At 37.5% G+C, this 23,727-nt stretch overlaps 1 pseudogene, besides 1 other annotated feature; it reads right to left on the bottom strand.

The window, feature by feature from the left end:
• RPL36AP51 (ribosomal protein L36a pseudogene 51) lies at positions 10,131-10,523 on the bottom strand (annotated as a pseudogene).
• Positions 21,749-22,344: an enhancer, noted in NCBI's record as "OCT4-NANOG hESC enhancer chr19:21404287-21404882 (GRCh37/hg19 assembly coordinates)". NCBI's record gives its function as "activates a minimal SCP1, AML or CMV promoter by ChIP-STARR-seq in primed H9 embryonic stem cells {active_cell/tissue: H9 hESC(primed)}" and the evidence as "EXISTENCE:reporter gene assay evidence [ECO:0000049][PMID:30033119]".

Raw genomic sequence — 23,727 nt, 5'->3', positions numbered from 1 at the left:
CATAAATATGAAATATTTTAAAATTTATTTGTGTCTTCTCTAATTTCATTGATTTATAGCTTTCATTGTTAAGATTTTTTACCTCTTGGGTTATATTTGTTCTCAGAAATTTAGTATTTTAATTATATTTTTAAAAAGATTGTTTTCTTGGCCAGTACCATGTCTGAGGCCTGTAATTCCAGCACTTTGGGAGGCTGAGGCGGATGGATCACTTGAGTTCAAGAGTTTGAGACCTGTCTGTCCAACATGATGAAACCCCATCTCGACTGAAAGTATAAAAAATTAGTCAGGTGTGGCAGTGGGCACCTGTAATCCCAGCTACTCAGGAGGCTGAACAAGCAGAATCACTTGAACCCAAGAAGTGGAGGTTGCAGTGAGCAGAGATCACATTATTACACTCCAGCCTGGGCCACAGAGCAAGACTCTGTCTCAAAAAAAAAAAAAAAATTAGTAAAATATTTTTTATTTCTACTGTATCCAATAGCTTGTTTTAAGTGTATAGAACAATAACTTATACTTTTATGTTAATTTTATATTTTGTTAATTTACTGAGTGTATTTATTAGACAAATTTCAATGTACTGTCTATGGTTTTTTATGTATAAGATTATATATTCCTCAAACAGCAACTATTTACTTGTCTTTGATTTCAATGGCTTTTAAAAATGTTTTTTATTCATTATTCTGCCACATACTTCCAGTGCTGTGTTAAAATAGAAGCATTGATAATGGGCACAATTGTTTTTTATATTGGTGTCCATGAATTTGAAAAAGCAAACAACTTATATTTTCATATACTGATTTCAGGAGGTAAAGATCTGCTTTTGTTGGGTCCCCAGGGTTCTGGGATGCCCTCTGGGTTTGTAGTGGAGTTGGGTTGTAACTTGGTCACCAGGCTGCTGGGTCTGCTCTAGGGTCCACATTTAGATGGCTTGTTACAAGGGGCTTGGGTAGTTGTAATTCCCATTTGTTTTCTTTTTTCTTTTTTTTTTTTTTTTTGAGATGGGAGTCTTGCTCTGTCTCCAGGCTGGAGTGCAGGCTGGAGTTGCTCGGCTCACTGCAACCTCTGCCTCCCGGGTTCAAGCAATTCTCCTCCCTCAGCCTCCCAAGTAGCTGCGACTACAGGTGCGTGCCACCATGCCCAACTAATTTTTGTATTTTTAGTAGAGATGGGGTTTCACCATATTGGCCAGGATGATCTTGATCTCTTGACCTTGTGATCCACCTGCCTCGGCCTCCCAAAGTGCTGTTTTTTTTTTTTTGTTGTTGTTGTTGTTTGTTTTTTAACAGATTAAATATCCTTCAGGACTTTTATCTGTGGAGCAGACTCTAGGGCAGCTTTCTGCAGTCGGGTCCATATATAGTGGCCCTTATATCAGGATGCAAATGAGTATGGCTTTCACTGAGTACCAGAGAGGATTTCCTCAGGTCACTGTGCAGGTTTCTATGTAGGCAGAACTGGCCATGAACTGCTACCCATGGAGCTGGAACAGAGTCATTGAACTGCTTCAGGGACCACAGTAAAAACCAAGGTCTGTAGGCCTGCCTACATGGCTACAAATGGCTGTCTTTCTCCAGGTCTCTGGAAGGGCAGGGTCTCTACCAGACTGTAACTGGGAGAAGTTTGGGACGGTTACAGAGTAACTTCAGAATTCTCAGTGTGACCAAGTTGGTTGGGCCATTTCTTGGTCTGTAGCCAAGACCAGAGGTCCTATAATTTCCCACCAGAATGAGGACCTGCTCTCTGAAAAGGAATGCTCCTCAATCTTGGGCTTTAGCAGAATTTCACAACTGCCTCCCTAAATATCAAAGCTGTCTCAAAGGCACTTATTTTTGAGGTGAGGTCTCACTTTATAACCCAGGCTGGTCTTGAAATCCTGGCCTGAAGCAATTCTCCAACCTCAGTGTACCATATATCTTCATTACAGGTTTGAGCCATGATGCCTGGTTCTCTCATAAAGGAATTTATGTAAAGAATGGCTGAGAAATGTTCTTGCTGTGGGAGGGATAAGCAAATAGAGCACTTTTCATTTTTTCATCTTACTGATGTTTCTTTTCCTATACATTTTTACTTGCTATTTTCTATTTCAAATTTATCTGTAATTTTAGATTCAGACATTTAGGACAATATGTGAGAATTTACATGTTTTGTCTAAAGTAATTTAGATAATTGGTAGACACTCCATATTTACTAAAATCGTTACTTATAAATTTAAATTTGCTGTAGGCAAAAAAATAAGATTTTCACCTATTTTCGTCCATATATCTAAATGATAACATAATTTATTGCTAAATATTTGTTTAATATATCAGAGGCTCTAATTATATTTTGCAAAATATATTTTTTAAAATTTAGCAATGTAAGGCTATTCTTTGCTTCTAAAGTTGGATTACATCAGTTTTATTTCGTGTATGAATAGCTTATATTTAAAACATAAAAGTTATCGTGGCTGGGCATGGTGTCTCACGCCTGTAATCCCAGCACATTGGGAGGCTGAGGCGGGCAGATCACCTGAGGTCAGGAGTTCGAGACCATCCTGACCAAAATGGAGAAATCCCATCTCTACTAAAAATACAAAATTAGCTGGGTATGGTGGCACATGCCCGTAATTCCAGCTACTCGGGAGGCTGAGGCAGGAGAATCACTTGAGCCCAGGAGGCGGTGGTTGTGGTGAGCCAAGATCATTTCCATTGCACTTCAGCTTGAGCAACAAGAGCAAAACTCCATGTCAAAAAAAAAAAAAAAGAAAAGAAAAGTTAACACTTGCTTCTTTCTTTCTTTCTTTTTTTTTTTTTTTTGAGACAGAGTTTCACTCTTGTTGCCCTGGCTGGAGTGCAATGGTGTGATCTCAACTCACTGAAATCTTCGCTTCCCAAGTTCAAGCAATTCATCTGCCTCAACCTCTCGAGTATCTGGGATTACAGGTGCCCGCCACCACATCCAGCTAATTTTTTTGTATTTTTAGTAGAAATGGGGTTTCACCATGTTGGCCTGGCTGGCCTCAAACTGCTAACCTCAGGTGATCCACCTGCCTTGGCCTTGCAAAGTGCTGGGATTACAGGCATGAGCCACCGTGCCCGGTCACTAGTTTCTTTTAAATGCTTATTTATTAAAAGTTTCTTGAGGCCCGGCGTGGTGGCTCACACCTGTAATCCCAGCACTTTGGGAGGCCGAGGCAGGCGGATCACGAGGTCAGGGGATCGAGACCATCTTGACTAACACAGTGAAACCCCATCTCTAGTAAAAATACAAAAAGTTAGCCGGATGTGGTGGCGGGTGCCTGTAGTCCCAGCTACTCAGGAGGCTGAGGCAGGAGAATGGCGTGAACCCGGGAGGCGGAGCTTACAGTGAGCTGAGATCGCAACACTACACTCCAGCCTGGGTGACAATGCGAGACTGCATCTCAAAAAAAAAAAAAGTTTCTCATCAGGATATTTTATTTATAATTATACTGCATATTCCCTGAAATTTTACTGCCAATGATTCAAAATACCTACCTTTGATGAGTCACAGTTACAGTCAAATACTGTAGTTAGACAAATTCTTTTTTAATGGTTTACTAATGTTGCATACCAAATTTTATCAGTAAACCTGTCTCTTATTGTGCAGTTTTATATTAGTGGTTTTTTTCGTGTACGTTTCTTAACATCAGCTTATTGTGTTTTGGGGTTGTTTTTATGTATTACAATTGTAGTCAATTTGCAATTCTGCTTGTGCACTTTAAGTCAATGTGAGGTTTAATTAAGAGATAAATCAGCCATATGTCTATCACAATCAGATTATATATGTGTGTTTGTTTATCTATAAATATGACCCCAATATTGGTTATGGTTTATCTTGTGTATATTGTTTCTTAGCTGATTTTCAATGGTCGTTTTATCTTGTCTAAGTGAGTAGTCATGGAAATATTTTCACCATTTCCTATTTTCACAGTGCGTTTAATGTTGAATATATATTTCCTTTGTGTAAGAGAAACACTTCTGGGATTTGAAGGTAATTTTTGGAAAGAGTTATAATTCAGTATTATTTTCAGTTTTTCCTTTAGAAAATTAATTGTTGTAAAAACACACAACATAAAATTTAGCATCTTAAATCTGTTCAAGTGTACATTTCAGGACCAGACATGTGGGTGGCTCGCATCTGTAATTTCAGAAATTTGGGAGGCAAAGACAGGAAGATCACTTGAACCCAAAATTTTCAGACCAGCCTGGGCAACATGTGAAGATTCCTTCTTACAAAATTTTTTTAAAAAATAACCAAGTATGATCGTGTGCACCTGTGGTTCCAGCTACTTGGGAGACTGAGAGGGGAGGATTACTTGAGCCTTGAAATTTGAGGCTGAAGTGAGCCTTAATTGTGCCACTTCACTTCAGCTTGGGTGACAGAGTGAGAACCTGTCTCAAAACCAATCTGTACATTTCAAGCATGTTAAGTATATTCACATTGTTGTGCAAAAGACTTCTGAAAGTTTTACATCTTGTGAAACTAAAACCCAGTACCCATTAAGTAACAACAACGCATGTACCCTTTTCCCAGCCCTTGACAAACACCCTTCCAATTTCTGTTTTTATAAGTGTGACTACTTAGGATATCTCATGTAAGTGGAATCATACGGCATCCATCATTTTGTTTCTGGCTTATATAGGTGACATAATACTTGGAAAGCTTATCTTAAAATGTGACAAGATTTTCTTTCTTAAGAATAATATTTCACTGTATGTATATGTCACATTTTCGATGTGTTCATAAATCAAGAGACATCTTAGTTGCTTCAGCCTTTTGGCTTTTGTGAATAAATCGATGTTCAAATAGGTCTTCTTGTCTTGTGTGGCATATTTTGACTATAGATTCATAAATGGGATTGCTATATTTGATAATTCCATTTTTAATTATTTGAGAAACATGACATTTAAAAATAATGACGGTATCTTTGTTTTCTACTAACAATCAACATAGGTTTCATTTTTATTGCATCATCAACAGATTTGGTGTGCTTAAAATTTTATAGTGGCCATTGTAATGGGTGTGAGGCAATTTTTTCATTATTTTTGTGTGTTTCTCTACAAAGTATTAATTTTCTGTGTCATTTCAAATGTTTTTTTCTATATGTGTATCTTTTCTGATGAAAATTTTGTTCAATTATTTGCTCATTTCTAAATCAATTTAGCTTTATTGTTCAATTTTAAGAGTTGTTTATATATTCTGAATATTAACTCCTATCACATGTGTTTTGCAAATATTTTCACTTGTTTACTAGAGGGCATTTTTCACTCTACTGAATATTTTTTTGAGTGTGCAGAAATTTTGAATATAGTGTGCTTACATTTTTCTATTTTTTTCTTTGTTGTTCATGCATTTAATGTCATTTCTAAGAAAATGGTGCCAAGACCTATATCATCTCTTTTTTCTATTTTTTTCTAAGGGATTTGTTATTTTTTTATGTTTAAGTTTTTTATTTGTTTTTGAGATGGAGTTTCACTCTTGTTGCCCAGGCTGGAGTGCGATGGCATGATTTCAGGTCACCACAACTTCTGCCTCCTGGGTTCAAGCGATTCTTTTGCCTCAGTCTCCTGAGTAGCTGTGATTACAGGCATATGCCACCACACCTGGCTAATTTTGTATTTTTAGTAGAGACGGGGTTTCTCCATGTTGGTCAGGCTAGTCTCAAACTCTCTATCTCAGGTGATCCACCCGCCTCAACCTCCCAAAGTGCTGGGATTACAGGCGTGAGCCACAGCACCCGGCCGCATGTCTGTCACGGATTGCCACGGTTATTGCGGGACTGAACGAAGGACGAACAAAGAAATGAGAACCAAAGAAAAAACAATATCTTTTAAGGAAAGGGTCTGGAGAAGAAGAGGGCTCCCAGCTTCTAGTGAGCAAGGGCAGCCACCCTGAGTTTCCACAGCCTCCCAAATTCACTGGGTAGAAAGAGCAGGGAGGAGGAGGTAATGATTGGTCAGCTGCTTGATTGATCACAGGTTCATATTGTTGCTATTAGACTTCAGGTATGCCTAATCACATGAAACACTTGTGCCTGGGATGTGACCGCCCTCAGCATAACCTCTGGGTGGCAAATGTAGTTTGTCAGTTTGCCAACATTCTGCATTCATGAGAACAGCTTGCTGTTTACTCATATAGCGTCCAGTGGTACTCTGAGTTGATCACAACCCTCCCTCACTTTTTTGGCCTGTAACATCTCGTCCTGTTTTTAGTTGAAAAAAGGCAATTCAGACTGTACAGCCCTCAACTGCCAGCTGGTGGTCCAGCTGATCTTACAGATGTACAGAAAATTACAGCCAGCTTGGCCACAAATATGGAGTCAGGAGTTTTTGCCTGACCCTGGCACTCCAGCAGTTTATCAGCTTCTTGTGTGGTTTTCTTGAACTGTTCCTATGTTATGAGGGTTAATGTCAGCATGACTCCAGTTGGAACCTTGTTCCTGAGGGCACCCACACGGTTTGTTCATTTCCTGTAAAGATATGTTTGAAATGCTTGTTCCCTGGTGCCATAAAGAAATAGCATTTGAACATAAATTTAATTTATTCAGCAAGGCCATTTTTACTTCCTGCAGAAAGGGGACACTCACCGGCAGTTTTGCCATGAGAGTATACCAAACAAAGGAGACAGGGTCATTTATAACCTGATGCATCCACCCTACTGCTGTGTTTGGTTTCCATTGGCCGGAATGGGACCTCACATTCTGTATGTGTCCCAATTGTTTAGCAACTTAGAATTTTTTAAAAGAGTCAAAGGCAGAGGAGAACAAAGGAAGGAGGAAGTAACTTGTGGAATGCTGAGAAAGGTAAAAACACCTTCAAATAAGGAAGAGGAACAGGCTATGACCTAATGCTTGCTTGGACTAGTGTAAGCATGTCAGGGCAAATATTTAGGCTACATTGTGAGAGCTAAGAACATAAAGTACATTGATTACTTTATCACGGCTAGCAGATATTTAAGAATGTTAGCACAGGTCTTTGAATAAATTTTGCTTCTAAGAGAAATTATTATTTATTCCTAAATGGGGAGGAAAGTCTCTGAAGAGGAACCTCTACTTTACTTTTTACAGACGCACGAATACTCTCGTCCCCACATTAATAAATCTACCAAAACAAAAGCAAAGGCTTTTGTGGTTCTAACTCAGCTTCTGCCTCTTTGGCTAATTGCCATGGGGTAAACTTTCCATTGATAATGAGAGACAGGCTCTTTCTGATTAACAGAAGGCACAGAGAAAACAAATTGAGGCCCATCCTTCTCGTGCAACAGTACAGCAAAAACAATAGATCCTCAAGATCTATTACCACTTAAGGCCAGTCTCTTGGAATGGCTGCTGTGGATGGCAGACCTTGCTGTAATGCACCCATTGGTTTAATCTGTGCATCAATAGCTCTCAAATCATGCAGCAATCACCATTTTCTTGACTTCCTAGGAATCACAAATACTGGTGAATTCCATGGGCCAACCGACTCTTCTATATGTCCTGCTTCCAATTGCCCTTTTACTAATTGATGGAGTTGAATCAGTTTCCCCTGTGATAGGGGCCACTGATCCACCCATACAGGTTTGTCAGTCAGCCACTCTAGCGGCAAAGCAGTAGGTGGAGGAGAAATATCAATGACCTCCCCATCAGAAGTCCTGATGTCCTAACCCTTTTCTATCTGTGTGTCCAGTTATTGATATTAGATCAGGGTTTCCCTGTAGGGATTTTCCTAAGGCTTTTCCATTCTGATATCCCATTTTCTTTAACATTTAAATCCTGGATTATCAATAGTTTCATTTGTAAGTCTCATATCCCATGCTGTAAGTAAATCTCGACCCCATAGATTAACAGCTATATTCGTAACATAAGGTTGAAAAGTATATAACTGTCCATCTGGTCCGAGACAGGATAGAACTCTGTTGAACACTTTGAGCTGCTCCTATTCTCACTAGGGATGTAGAAGTTAGTTTTAAGGGCCAAGATAGGGCCCAATTATTTTTAGATATTACTGACACATCAGCTCCCATATCCATAAGCCCATAAAAACTCTTTCCTTTAATTTGCACTGTACAGGTGGGTCTATTACATGCTATGGGTTGTGATAGATAAATTTCCCATGTAGTTGTACTTCCAAATCCTTAATTCCCTCCTTTCTCCTTTTGTGAAGATGGGTGCGATTTACATGGAACAAGCAACAGTTGATCTCCTAGTTCAAAAACCCAAAGATCAATTTACAGGGAATAAGCAACAGTTGAGCATTATATTCTAGTTAAAAATCCCAAAGATCTTGTGACAATACCACTACTTGAATTTATCCTTCACAATCAGAATCAACAACTCCAGGGACTACAACAATGCTATGTAAGTTAAGATGACTTCTACCTAAAATTAATCCCATATATCCTATTGGCAAAGGTACCCAAATACCAGTGGGCATCTTATTGGGTTTTTCTCCTTCAATTAATGTAACCCATTCTCTGGCTGGGAGATGTAATCCTGCGCTTCCAGGTGTTCCTGGGGAGAGGGAATCAATGCTCCTCCGGAAACCCACCCCTGAAATGGAGTTGTGGCCTGGACGGGGAATGCCCTCATTGTTTGAGGTGCCCAGGTCCAGGTCCCTTTCTCATTCCCCGACAGGGGGGTGTTGTTTTGATGAAATTTTGAGTGGCATTGATTAGCCCAATGATTTCCTTAATTGCAACAAGGGCAAAGGCCTGGCATTTTTTTCTGTTAGAGGGAAACTGCATTATCAAATCCCTTCTGCCCAGAGATCTGATGGCATTCTTTTTTGAAATGTCCAATCTTTCTACACTTATAGTATTTCCCCCGTTTAGAGTTTGACCCTTGGCTCTTTTTAGATTTATCAACTACTAAATTAGCCATTGCTTGAACCAACATTGTAGAGCGATGAAGCTCAGTTCTCACATCTTGACAGGCTCTGAGAAAATTTCCCAAGCTCTCTGCACATCTCACAGGTGCCAGTGCACATCCACAATAAACGTTTGCACTTTCAAAAGCCAAAGTTAAAGTTAACATTTCTGCAACCACAAAAGAAACAATACAAGCCAATTTTCATCCTCCCTCTTCTGTTCACCACCCTCGATAGGTGCTGTGGGTAGGGCAAAAAATTCTTTTAAATTTTGGAACAATGACAAAAGAACAGTACAAACCAAACTCCAAACAGAAAAGAGAAAAGAAATAGCCAAATTCTTCCCCCATGTTACCCTGATTCAAAAACTTTCCATTCTATGTACCTTTTAGGGCACTGACCAATACCTCTTTAGGGTATATCGCTGCCGGCATACTCGTAAGGGGTTTCTCCTTCACCTGGTCAGTTTCATTTTTAATTTTTTTTCTTTTCTTTTTTTTCTTCTTTTTCTGCTCCTGCAGACCTTCCTTGTTCAAGCTCCTATAGGACCCTATCTGTCTCTGTCCCTATTCTGTCCCTGTTCTGTCCCAGCAAGTCTCTGCTAGTCTTTATCTTTTCCTATCTGTCCCTCGACTGTCCCTATGGGTCCCTATAGGTCCTGTAAGTTCCTTCAGTTCCCTGCAAGTCCCTGTATGACCCTGCAGTTCCCTTCATCAAGTCCCACGTTGGGCACCACTTGCCACGGTTTGCCACGGTTACTGCAGGACTGAACGAAGGAGGATGAATGAAGAAATGAAAACCAAGGAAAAAGCAATATGCTTTAAGGAAAGGGTCTGGGGAAGAAGAAGAGGGCTCCCAGCTTCTAGTGAGCAAGGGCAGCTGCCCTGAGCTTCCACAGATCCCCAAATTCACAGGGTAGAAAGAGCAGGGAGGAGGAGGTAATGATTGGTCAGCTCTTGATTGATCACAGGTTCTCGTTATTGCTATTAGACTTCAGGTATGCCTAATCACATGAAACATTTGTGCCTGGGGTGTGACTGCCCTCAGCATAACCTCTGGGTGGCACATGCAGTTTGTCGGTTTGCCAACATTCTGCATTCATGAGAACAGCTTGCTGTTTACTCATATAGCCTCCAGTGGTACACTGAGTTGATCATGGATCATGACCCTCACTTTTTTGGCCTGCAACACATTTAAGTATTTTTTTTGTAAATTTTTTGTATATGGTTCAAGGAAATGATGTAACTTTATTTTATCAGTGTTGATATTCAGTTTTTTTTTAACATAAATTCAAGATTTTATTGTCTTCATAATAAAGGATGACACTTTAGAACTGGATCACTTGGCCCTTTCTCTTATCTACTCCCAGTTCAAAATGCTTGCATCTTTTAATAGCCAGCATTCTCTAAGATCTGCATTTGGGCTCAATGCACTCAAGACTTAGCACAATCTTCTTTGTAGTTTTAGCCTTTTTCTGGAAAATCGGCTTAGTTTGCCCATCATAGCCATTCTGCTTCCTGTCATAATGCTGCTTTCCCTGGGCATACAGAGAATCCTTGCCCTTCTTGTACTGTGTCACTTTGTGGGGTTGGTGCTTGCCACACTTCTTACAGAAAGTCCAGTGGGTTTTAGGGACATTCGCCATGTTTGTGTGAGTGCTGTCAGCATGGAAAGCGATAGTAAGTTTTTAACATTATTTTTTGAGAAGACTGATCATCTTTTCTCTATTGTGTGCTTATGGCAACTTTGCAAGAGATCATGTAATCATATACAGAAGGCTTCATTTCTGGGCTCTCTATTCTGTTCTTTCATCTTTTTATCTTCCTTTGTGTATGTATCATACTTTTTTATTGCAACTTTTAATGTGTTAAAATCAGAAAGTATAATGTCTCTTTGTTCTTTTTCATGGGTGTTTTGCTAGTTATAGTTTATAATCAAATTTTAAAATATTAAGCAATATTTCTGTAATAAAACTGTGCCATTGTGATTTTTTTTTTAAGATGGAGTTTTGCTCTTTTGCCCAGGCTGGAGTGCAGTGGCATGATCTCATCTTACTGCAACCTGCAACCTCTGCCTTCCCATTTCAAGTGATTCTCTTGCCTCAGTCTCCCAAGTAGCTGGGATTACAGGTGCCTGCCACCCCGCCTGGCTAATTTTTGTATTTTTAGTAGAGACGGGGTTTCACCATGTTGGTTAGGCTGGTCTCGAACTCCTGACCTCATGATCCACCCACCTCGGCCTCCCAAAATGCTGAGATTACAGACGTGAGCCACCATGCCCAGCGCTATTGTGATTTTTATAGAGAATATACTTAATATGTTCACCACTGTAGGTTGTATTGACATTTTAACACAATTAAATTTTTTGACCCCTGAGCAAGAATATGATGAAGAGATGAAGAGTGTGTTTTTTTAGTTTTCTTTCTTTTTCTTTCTTTCTTTCTTTTTTTTTTTTTTTTTGATAAGGATTTCCTATGTGGCCCAGGCTAATTTCAAACTCCTGGGCTCAAGAAATCCTCCTGCCTCAGCCTCCCAAAATGCCAGTATTAGAGGTTGGGAGCCACTGTACTCAGCCTGTGTGTTTCAATTTTATATATTCTTGGATTTGCCATTATTACTTTTGCTTTTAATTTCTAGTTTCATTCAGTTTTGTTAAGAAAACACACATGTATGATTTTGGTTTTAAATTTATTTGTTGTTGTCATTTTGAGAAAGGATCAAACTTGTCACTCAGGCTGGAGTATAGTGGCATAATTTTGGCTCACTGCAACCTCAGCCTCCTTGACTCAAATGACGTTTTTACCTAAACGTCCCAAGTAGCTGAGACTACAGACATTCACAACCATGCCTGGCTAATTTTTTTATTATTTGTAGGGACAGGGTCTCACTATGTTATCCAGGCTGGTCTCAAACTTCTGGTCCCAACTGACTCCCTCACTTTCATCTTCCAAATTGTTGGAATTATAGATGTTAGCCACTACCCCCAGCTGTTATTATTTAATAAGACTTGTTATATTTCCTAACTGAATACGTCATGTGCAAATAAGAATATTTTGTATTCTTTGACTTTTAAGTAGAAAGTTTTGTACATGTCTGTTAAGGGGAAAAATACCTCATAAATGCCTTGACACTATCTTTTTGATAATCAGAAAGTTTTCACTCCATTAATTCAAATGAGAGCTGGTTTATTCAAAGAACCTGACTTCTTCACCTCACACTTACTGTAATCCCAGCACTTTGAGAGGCCAAGATGGGTGGATCACAAGATCAGGAGTTCAAGACCAGTCTGGCCAACATGGTGAAACCCCATCTCTACTAAAGATAAAAGAAATTAGCTGGGTGTGGTCACATGCACCTGTAATCCCAGATGCTCAGGAGACTGAGGCAGGAGAATCATTTGAACCCTGGAGGTGGAGGTTGCAGTGAGCTCAGATCACACCATTGCATTCCAGCCATTTTCACCTGGGCAACAAGGCAAGACTCCATCTAAAAGATGGCACTTATAAGAATGTGTATTGTGTTGTTTTTGACTGGAGAGTTCTGTAGATATCTATCAGGTTCACTTGACCCAGAGCTGAGTTCAAGTTCTGAATATCCATGTTACTTTTCTTTCTCAATTATCTGTCTAATATTGGCAGTGAGGTGTTAAAGTCTCCCACTATTGTTGTGTGGCAATCTAAGTCTTTTTGTAGGTCTCTAAGAATGTGCTTGTTTAATCTGGGTGCTCCTTGAATTGATTATTTTAGCATTATGTAATGCTCTTCTTTATCTTTTTTGGTCTTTGTTGGTTTAAAGTCTGTTTTGTCAGAAACTATGATTGCAACCTCTGCTTTTTTTTCTGCTTTTATTTGCTTAGTGAATTTTCCTCCTTTTTTTATTTTGAGCCTATTTGTGTCTTTGCATGTGACACATGGGTCTCTTGAATACAGCACACCAATGAGTCCTGACTTTTTATTTAGCTTGCCATTCTGTCTCTTTTCTTGGTGCATTTAACTCATTTACATTTAAGGTTAATATAGTTTTGTGTGAATTTGATCCTTTTCATCATTCTAGCTGGTTATTTTGCAGACTTGTTGATGTTTCACAGTGTCATTAGTCTTTGTACTTCAGTGTATTTTTGCAGTGGCTGGTAATTCTTTTTCTTTTCTATATTTAGTCCTTCTTTCAGGAGTTCTTTCAAGGCAGGTCTGGTGGTGACAAATTTCTTCAGCATTTGTTTGTCTGACAAGGATTTTATTTCTCCTTAACTTATAACGTGTAATTTTGCAGAATATGAAATACTTGGTTGGAAATTATTTTCTTTAAGAATGTTGAATATTGGCCTCCAATCTTTATAGCTTGTAAGGTTTCTGTATCAGGGGAACCACCCCTAATATTTCACATAAGTTCTTTTCTATTTCCCTAAGTGTCAGCCAGTCTGAGAAATAAAGGGAAAGTGTACAAAAGACAGAAATTTTGAAGCTGGGTGTCTGTGGGAGACATCACATGTCGGCAAGTTCCATGATGCCCCCTAAGCTGCAAAACCAGCAAGTTTTTATTAGTGATTTTCAAAGGGGAGGGAGTGTATGAATAGGGTGTGGGTCACAGGGATCACATGCTTCACAAGGCAATAAAATGTCACAAGGCAAATAGGGGCAGAGCAATGGGGCAAAATTAAAATTGCTAATGAAGTTTCAGGCACACATTGTCATTGATAACATCTTATCAGGAGACAGGGTTTGAGGGCAGACAAACTGTCTGACTAAAATTTACTAGGTGGGAATTTCCTCATCCTAATAGGCCTGGGAGTGCTATGGGAGACCGGGGCTTATTTCATCCCTTATCTACAACTGTGTAAGACAGACATTCCCAGAGCGGCCATTTCAGAGACCTCCCCCTAAGAGTGCATTCTCTTTCTCACGGCTGTTCCTTGCTGAGAAAAAGAATTCAGTGATATTTCTCCTATTCACTTTCATAAGAAGAGAAATATGGTTTGTTCCACCTGGCTCTCAGGCAGTCAGACCTGAGGGTTATCTCCCTTGTTCCCTGAACATTGCTGTTATCTTGTTCTTTTTTCAAGGTGCCCAGATTTCATATTGTTTAAACACACATGCTTTATGAACAATTTGTGCAGTTAACACAATCATCACAGGGTCCTGAGGCCACATACATCCTCAGCTTATGAAGATGATGAGATTAAGAGATTAAAGTAAAGACAGGCATAGGAAATCACAAGAGTATTGATTGGGGAAGTGATAAATGTCCATGAAATCTTCACAATTTATGTTTTTCTGCCATGGCTTCAGCCAGTCCCTCTGTTCGGGGTCCCTGACTTCCCGCAACATTTCTGCTTAGAATTCCACTGTTAGTCTGATGAGCTTCCCTTTGTAGGTGACCTGGCCTTTCTTTCTGGCTGTTCATATCATTTTTTCCTGCATTTCAACCTTGAAGAACCTGATGATTACGTGTGTTGGGGTTGATTTTCTCATGAAACATCTTACTGAGGTTCTTTGGATTTTCTGAATTTGAATGTTGGCCTGTCGTGTTAGGTTGGAAAAGTTCTTCTGGATGATACACTGAAGTATGTTTTCCAACTTGGTTCCATTCTCTTGATCTCTTTAAGGTACCCCAAACAGTCATAGTTTTGATCATTTTACATAATCCTATAATTATCAGAGATTTTGTTCATTCCTTTTTATTCTTTTTTAATCTTGTCTGCCTGTCTTATTTCAGCAAGCTAGTCTTCAAGCTCTGAAATTCTTTCCTCTGCTTGGTCTACTCAGTTATTGATACTATTGGTTGCATTATGAAGTTCTCATGTTGTGTTTTTCAGTTCCCTCAGGTCATTTCTGTTTCTCTCTAAGGTAGTTTTTTATGATTCTTAGCTTCTTTGCATTGGCTTAGAACATGCTTTGTTAGCTCAGCAAAGTTTATTATTACCCATTTTCTGAAGACTACTTCTGCCAATTTATCCATTTCAGCCTTCACCCAGTTCAGTGCCCTTGTTGGAGATATGTTGTGATCATTTGGAGAAGAGGGGCTCTGGCTTTTTGAGTTTTCAGCATTTGTTTGTTGATTCTTCTCATCTTCATGAGTTTATCTAGCTTTGATCTTTGAGGCTGCTGACCTTTGGATAGGGTTTTTGGGGACTTTTTTGTTGGTGCTGTTGTTGTTGTTGCTTTCTGTCTTTTTGTTTTACTTTTAACAGTCAGGCTCTTCTTCTGTGGGGCTGCTGTCATTTGCTTGGAATCCGCTTCAGACTCTATTTGTCTGGGTTTCTCTCACACCTGGAGGTGTCACCAGTGGAGGCTGCAGAACAGCAGAGATGACTGTCTCCTCCTTTCTCTGAGATCTTAATCCCAGAGGGACACTACTGAGACCAGCTCAGTCATGGATACCCTAAACCAGTGGTGCTAGAGGAATTAAGACAAAGACACAGAAATAGAGTGCAGAGTGGGAGTCAGAGGGGCAACATCCTTTAGAGCTGAGAGCCACAAACTGAGTTTGACCTACATATTTACTGACAGCAAGCCAGTAATAAGCATTGTTTCTATAGGCTATAGATTAGCTAAAAGCATTCCTTATGGGAAACAAAGCATTCTTAGCAAAGAGTAGAGAAACAGGCTCTGGCTGATTATCTGTAGCAAAAACATGTTGTTAAGGCACAGGCTGCTCCTGCTATTGTGTGTGGTTTGAGCAGTTTTCTGCTCCGGGCAGGCCAGATGTTCCTTGCCTGCTCCAGTAAACCAACAACTTCTAGCAGTGTGCATTATAGCCATCATGAGCATGTCACATTGCTGCAGAAATCCAGTTTATGGCCAGTTTCTTTAAGGCCTGTTCCCAGAAGGGCACCAACCTGATGACAATGGGAACACTCCTTTATAAGTTGCCTGACACCACCTTTTGAGGGGGGGGTTCTCACCAAGTCAGGATGCACAAGATCCAGGAACCACTTAACAAAGCACTCTGGTTGCTCCTTGGTGTAGGGGGTGTGCTGCACAGGGGGAGATTCCATACATCTGTACTGCCCAGATTCCTCAGAGCCAGCAGAGGGAAAGACTAAGTCTACTGATCTACAGGAACCACCTCACTGTTACTGTTTTATGTGTTTCTTGCAGACATGTTTTTTCTCATTACCTGTTTTACTATCATAATTTTTGTTTAACTTTGTTGTGACATGGTGTGATTTTTAAAATTTTGTTTTGCATACTTCCTATAATATAATGTAATCATCTTGAAGTATATTGTAACCATCTTGAAAACTGGAGATTATATAAAACACCTTAAAGTTAAAACAGTATCTTTTAATCTCATAATAACATTAATTAAATACAAAAGCTATACTGCTATATTTTCCAGTTTGTTATAGGTATTACAAATTATGTTATCTTATTTTGTATCTATTAACAGATTTGTGCAGATTTATGTTTTTTTTATATCTATAGAAGAACTTCAAAGGTTTTATGTACCATCATTATGACAGTAAAACATTCTATGTGTGTCTTTATATTTATATTTAATAGAGTGCTTTATTTTATATATGGCTTTAAGATTCCTTTCATGAATATATTGATCTACTTGATGGTGTCCAATAATTTTTACATTCTAAATTTTAATTTTCTTTGGCAATATTATATTTTTTGTTATGTATTTCAGGGTATGCCACCTCAAACCAGTTAATTGTGTTTTGTTGTTTTGATTTATATTATAATTCTGTATGACAATGTTTAACTCTGTACAATTTAAGACAGTGTTGAGCAAAATCAACTACGAATCAGCCATATGTCTGCTTCCAATATCATTACCTCTATGTTTGTTTCCCTCTATAAATATTATTGCTGTTTTTAAAATAACTTGTATATTTGTTATGTAGGTTTGTTGTAAATGGTTGTTCAATCTTGTCTAGGTGAGCAGTCGTAAAAATTCTCCTAATTTCAATGTCTATTGTGAATCTATATTATTTTTGTGTGTAAGGAACACTTTGGGATTTGAAGATAATATTAAAACTCTCATAACTCTATATTTTTAGGTATTAGTTTTACTTGTCAAAAACATAACAAAATTTATTATCAAATATTTTTTAATATTCTGTTTAGTCATATTATATTGACAATGTTATGCAACATATCTCTAAAATGTTTTTATCTTTCAAAACGAAATCTCAATACACATTAAACAACAACCAATTTTTCTGGTTTTCTGAATTTTCCAAACACCATTCTGTTTTCTTTTTCTAAGAGTGTAACTGCTTCATATATTTCTTACAATTTCTATCTTTTTGTGGCTGACTCATTTCATTTTGCATAATGTCAAAATTTATCTATAAAGAGTATTAGAGTATTTCCTGCTTATAAAATTCTGGATGATAATATGGTATTTTTCTATTTCAAATTACATCTACTGAATAATTTTGTTACAGAAATTTGAATTGCTTCTACCTGTTGGCTTTCAGTAACAATGCTGCAATAATTATGGGTATGCAAATAACTCTTCATATGATCATGTATATGAAAGTTTATATAAGTGCTGCCTATTTTATTAGTTCACTTTTTAATGACTATACTCATACAGATTTTTTTAAAGTCTATTTTCTTGCTTTTTCTTTATTCTTTTTTTTTTTTTTGAGACAGAGTTTCACTCTTGTCACCCAGGCTGGGTTGCAATGGCATGACGGCATGATCATGGCTCACTGCAACCTCACCTCCTGGGTTCAAGTGATTCTTCTGCCTCAGCCTCCTGAGTAGCTGGGATTACAGGTGCCTGCCACCACACTCAGCTAATTTTTGCATATTTAGTAGAGACTGGGTTTCACCATGTTGGCCAGGCTGGTTTAAAACTCCTGACCTCATTGTGATCCTGCTGCCTTGACCTCCCAAAGTTCTGGGATTACAGGCATGAGCCACTGTGCTCAGCCCCCAAATTGTTTTAACTCTGTAGCTTTGTAATGTGTTTTCAAATCAGAAATTGTAATGCCTTTAACATTGTTTCTTCTTTTGAAGACTGTTGGGTACTTCATTTTCTCTTGATAGTCTATATACTTTTGAGATTGCTATTTCTATTTCCTCAAAAATGGAATGAGAAATTTTTAAAAACATTTTATTGCATGGTGTGGGGGCTCACGCCTGTAATCCCAGCACTTTGGGAGGCTTAGGCAGGTGGATCATGAGGACAGGATTTCGAACCCAGCCTGGCCTGTATGATGAAACCTCATCTCTACTAAAAATACAAAAATTAGCCAGGTATGGTGGTATATACCTGTAGTCCCAGTACTCAGGAGGATGAGGCAGGAGAATCGCTTGAACCTGGGAGGCAGAGGTTGCGGTGAGCTGAGATCGCACCACTGCACTCCAGCCTGGGTGACAGAGCAAGACTCCATCTCCAAACAAAACAAAACAAAACAAAACAAAACAGAACAAAACAAAAGAAACCATTGCATTAAATCTGTAGATTACATTGAGCATTATGGACATCTTCAAAATATTTCAACTTTTGAACAGGAGCATGCTGAAGAGTGTGTTGTTAAATATCTATATATTTGTACATTTTTAATTTTTTTTTCTGTTCTATACTTACATTCCATTTTGGTTATAGAATGTAATCCACAAAATGTCAATTTTAACAAATTTTCAAGACTCCTTTTTTTGGCCTAACAGGTGGTCTATCAAAAAGAATGTTGTATAAGCTATTCATAAGAATGTGTTTCCTGATATTGTTGAGGGCTCTTGTCTATTCCACTGTTAAAAATAATTGTATTATACTGCCTTCAATTCCTCTCTTCACTTACTAATATTCTGTCTTGTTTTATTTTTATTACAGAAAGTAGGGTATTGAAATTTCCTACTATAATTATATTGCTGTTTAGGTGTTTCTTCCTGTCTGTCAATATTTGCTTTATATATTTGAAAACTTGGTGTGAAATACAGACACACACACGCACACAAATTTGCAATAGGTTCCCAGTAAATATATCTATTATTGTTTAATGTCCTTTGCCTCTTTGCTGTTTTGACTTAAAGTACTTTATATAAAATATAACAGTTTTTGACTTAAGATGTAGCTTTTGTAATACTATTTTGACCTCTTCTGCTCTCATTTGGTTAATATTTGCATCCAATGTCTAAATCCATCTTGCCACCTTCAGTATCTTTTTTATCATTAGATGTCAGCTGACCCTTGTAGAAAGGCAAATTGGATCTTGGTTTTTAATAATTGTAAATAAATTTCTTTATTGAAAGTATAACTCTTGATTGGAAAGTTTTCTTAAACAAAGAGACTAATATTTGTTTATTTTTCTATTTGATTCTTGTACCTGTGTCCCACATTTTCTCTCTTTCTGTCTCTTTGTGTCTTTTTTATTTTGATTTTGATATGCTTTTTCTTCTTTCTTATTTTGTGTATCTATATAGATGTATTCTTTGTGCTAAGAAATTTATTTTTGTGTATGTACACATCTTTCCCAGAAAATAATGTATTTTAATATGATTATGTGTTGTTTTGTTGAATCATGTTATTTTCATTGGAAGCGACTGCTTTCAGCACCTTTTATATGTAAGGCAGTGCCAATATACTGTTTTAGAATTTAGTTATTTTTGAGGTTTTTTTCTTTTTATTTGGAAGGACAGATTTGGTGATGGTATTATACTCACTTGATTTTTTTTGAACCTTAAATATATCATGCAGTTTCCTTCTGGCCTGCAAAATTTTTGTTGAGAATCCATTGGATATCCCATAAGAGTATTCTTGCAAATAACACATCACCATTTTTTTTTTTTTTTGAGACTGAGTTTTGCTCTTGTTTGCCCAGGCTGATTGCAATTTTGTGATCTCAGCTCACTGCAACTTCTGCCGCCTTGGTTCAAGCGATTCTCCTGCCTCAGCCTCCCGAGTAGCTGCTATTACAGGCATGTGCCACTACGCCCGGCTAAGTTTGTATTTTTAGTAGAGACAGGTTTCTCCATGTTGAACAGGCTGGTCTTGAACTCCTGACCTCAGGTGATCTGCCTGCTTCGGTCTCTCAAAGTGCTGGGATTACAGGTGAGAGCTGCCATGCCCAGCCAACACATCACTTTTATCTTGCAGCTCCCAAGATTCCCTTTTCTGTGACTTTTAAAATTGTGCTTATGTATGTGTTTGATATAAATATCTTTGTGTGTATCCTAGTTTGTTTGTTGAGCTTCTTCATTTTTATGTCTTTTTTTAAAGATTTTTCAGTTATTCTTTATATATTTTTTACCTCCATAATTTCTTTTTTCTAATATTTTAAGTATTTTTATTCTTATTTCCAGTTTTCTGATATCCTATAGTTCTCTGTGTTCTTTTTTCACTCATTGGGTATTATTCAATTTATTTTCAATTTTTAAAACTAATGTAAACATTTGTTATTGTTTCTTTCTGAAAATTTTATATTATTTTTAATGGAACCACATTGCCCTATTTTATATACATTGTAATTTTTTTTTTTTTTTGAGATGGAATTTTCCTCTTCTTGCCCAAGCTGGGGTGCAATGGCATGATCTCAGCTCACCGCAACCTCGCCTCCCAGTCAAGCGATTCTCCTGCCTCAGCCTCCCTAGTAGCTGGGATTACAGATGCCCGTCACCATGCCTGGCTAATTTTGTATTTTTAGTAGAGATGGGGTTTCTTCATGTTGGTCAAGCTGGTCTTGAACTCCTGACCTCAGGTGATATGCCCGCCTCGGCCTCTCAAAGTGCTGGAACTACAGGTGTGAGCCACTGCGCCTGGCCACATCATAATCTTTTATTCAAATTTGAATATTAAAAAAACTTACCTGTCCCAATCTTTATAATGTGGCTTTCCCCTGGCATACCTTGAACAATTGTCTGAGTTAGAGATTCTGAGAGTCTCTTAAACATGTTCTTCAAATGTGTCTTTTCTGAAATTTTGTGTTTATTTTTTAGTTAAAGGAAATAATTCATCTTTTTTTCTTTCTTTCCTTTTTTTTTTTTTTTTTTTTTGACACAGAGTCTTGCTGTGTCCCCCAGGTTGGAGTGCAGTGGCATGATCTAGGCTCACTGTAACCTCCACTCCCGGGTTCACGCCATTCTCCTGCCTCAGCCTCCTGAGTAGCTGGGACTACAGGCCGCCACCACCACGCCCAGCTAATTTTTTGTATTTTTAGTAAAGACAGGGTTTCACCATGTTAGCCAGGATGGTCTCAATCTTCTGAACTCGTGATCTGCCCGCCTTGGCCTCCCAAGGTCCTGAGATTACAGGCTTGAGCCACTGCACCCAGCCAAATGTGGCAAAGCTTTTAAGTGGTCCTCATACCTTAGTAGACATAAGGTCATTCATATTGGAATTCATACTGAGGAGAAATTCTACAAATGTGAAGAATGTGGCAAAGGGCTTTACTGGTCCTCTTCCCTTACTAAAGAATGTGGAAAAGCTTTTAAACGGTACTTAAACCTTACTACACATAAGATAATTCCTGCTGGAGAGAAACCCTACAAATGTGAAGAATGTGGCAAAGGTTTCTATTGATTCTCATACTTACTAAACTTAAGAAAATTCACACTGGAGAGAAATTCTACAAATGTGAAGAATGTGGCAAAGGCTTTAATTGGTCCTCGACCCTTACTAAACATAAAAGAATTCATACCATACAGAAATCCTACAAATGTGTAAAATGTGACAAAGCTTTTAACCACTTTTCAATCTTGCCTACATATAAGATAATTCATGCTGGAAATCCTACAAATATGAAGAATGTCTCAAAGCTTTTTACTGATTCTCATACCTTACTAAACATAAAATAATTCATAAGGGAGAGAAATTATACAAATATGAAAAATCTTGCAAAGCTTTTAACAAATCTTCATCCATTACTAAACATAAGATAATTCATACTGGAGAGAAAACCTACAAATGTGAGGAATGTGGCAAAGCCTTTAACCTGTCCCCCCAACTTACTGCACATAAGATAACTTATACTGGAGAGAAGCCCTACAAATGTGAAAAATGTGGCAAACATTTTAACCAATCATCAACCCTTACTACACATATGTTAATTCATGCTGGAGAGAAACCCTACAAATATGAAGAATGTGGCAAAGCTTTTAACCAATCCTCAAAACTTACTAAGCATAACTCATACTGGAGAAAAATCTTACAAATGTGAAGAATGTGGTAAAGCCTTTATCCAGTCCTCAACTCCTACTAAACATAACATAAGCTGCTTACAACTGTGAAGAATGTGGCAAAGCTTTTAACCAGTCCTAAAACTTTATTGAACAAAATAATTCATTCAGGAGAGAAACCCTACAAATGTGAAGAATGTGACAAAGCCTTTAACCAGTCCTCAATTCTTAATAAACATAAGAAAATTCATATTGGAGAGAAACCCCATGAGTGTGAAAAATATGGCAAAGGCTTTAGCTAGTCCTCAGTTCTTAACACACATAAGATAATTCATACTGGAGAGAAACTCTACAAATCAGAAAGATGTGATAATGCTTTTGACAATACCTCAAACTTTTCTAACCATAAGAGAAATCATATTGCTGAGAAATCCTAGAAATGTGAAGAATGTGACAAAGTCTTTAAATGGTTGTCATACTTGATTATAGGTGATATAATTCATAGTGGAAAAAATTCCTACAAGTGAGAACAAGGTGGCAAAATTTTTAACTAATACTCACACCTTATTGCAGAGAAAAGCATTCATATTTGAGAAAAATTGTACAAATATAGACTGTGAAAAAGACATTAATATCTGCTCACATCTTACTAACACCAGAGAGTTAATACTTACTAAAAGCATGATAAGTGCAATTACCGTCAAAAGACCTTTCAGAAAATCTTATTCTTTAAAGTGAAGAAGAGGATTTATATTGAAGATGAGCATTACACGTGTAAAGAGGGTTGTAGTAGCTTTACTTGTATCAGATCTTATTGTCCACATTTTGTACTAGAGGAAAACTCTAAAGGAGTTGCTTAAACTTTGTTCAACATCAGGGAATTTATATTGAAGAGTTGTCTTGCAAATGTAATAAATTTGGGAAAACAAATTTTCAAAAACTACAGCTTAGAAAACACCAGAGTTTATACTACAATATGTTTTTGAAAATGCAGTAAAAATGAAAAAAAAAATTTAATTCAAATTTAAGTCTACATAAATATCAGAGAATTTATAGTAGAAATATATAAGGAACTGACACTTCAGATGTTATACTAAATCAGAGTTCTGAGTATAGAAAATAATCTAAAACTAAAGTTGGTATAAAAATTATTTGTATATAACTTTAAGAGGAGTAAAAGTTTTTTGCAGAGTAATAACTACATTCAAAGTATACTTTATTTCTTGAAAAAATTACAGATTTTTTGAAAGCAAATGATGTAATTCAACTGTCATTATTTTCTGCTGTTTCTTCATTCTTATTCACTTGTGAAAGTTTGTGATCATTTCTTGCTGCATCAAAGGTATGAGAGATTCTTTTTCATTAGGTGGGCATTATTTATGATCTTTTCTATGTACAAGTAAGGATATTAGAATGTAAGATGCATGATGAAAATCTAAGTGGAGAGATTCTTTGTGGTTAACTTACACTATTGAGTGATGCACGAGGTAGGTGTTAAGAGTGATATTCTTTGCATTACGAGAAAACTAGTAGTATATTATTCATATATTGTACTAATTGTACTTTTATATGATAAAATGCAGTACATTTTAAAAATTTTAGATTATGTGTGAAGTTAATCGTTTCAACATTTTTAACATGTTAAATACTATTGTGCATTCAATGAAGTGTTATTTTACCACAAAGATTAACCTTTTCCACTTTGCCCAAAAATATAGGTAAAAAATGTTAACAATATACTATTTGGTAACATAATGGACTAACATCTTTAGTCATCTCTTTTGCCAGTGGCTTTAAACTGCA

Source organism: Homo sapiens, chromosome 19 (genome assembly GCF_000001405.40).
Source record: "Homo sapiens chromosome 19, GRCh38.p14 Primary Assembly".
Lineage (NCBI taxonomy): Eukaryota > Metazoa > Chordata > Mammalia > Primates > Hominidae > Homo > Homo sapiens.
The sequence above is the reverse complement of the archived record's forward strand: the minus strand, read 5'-3'. Positions and strand labels throughout refer to the sequence as shown.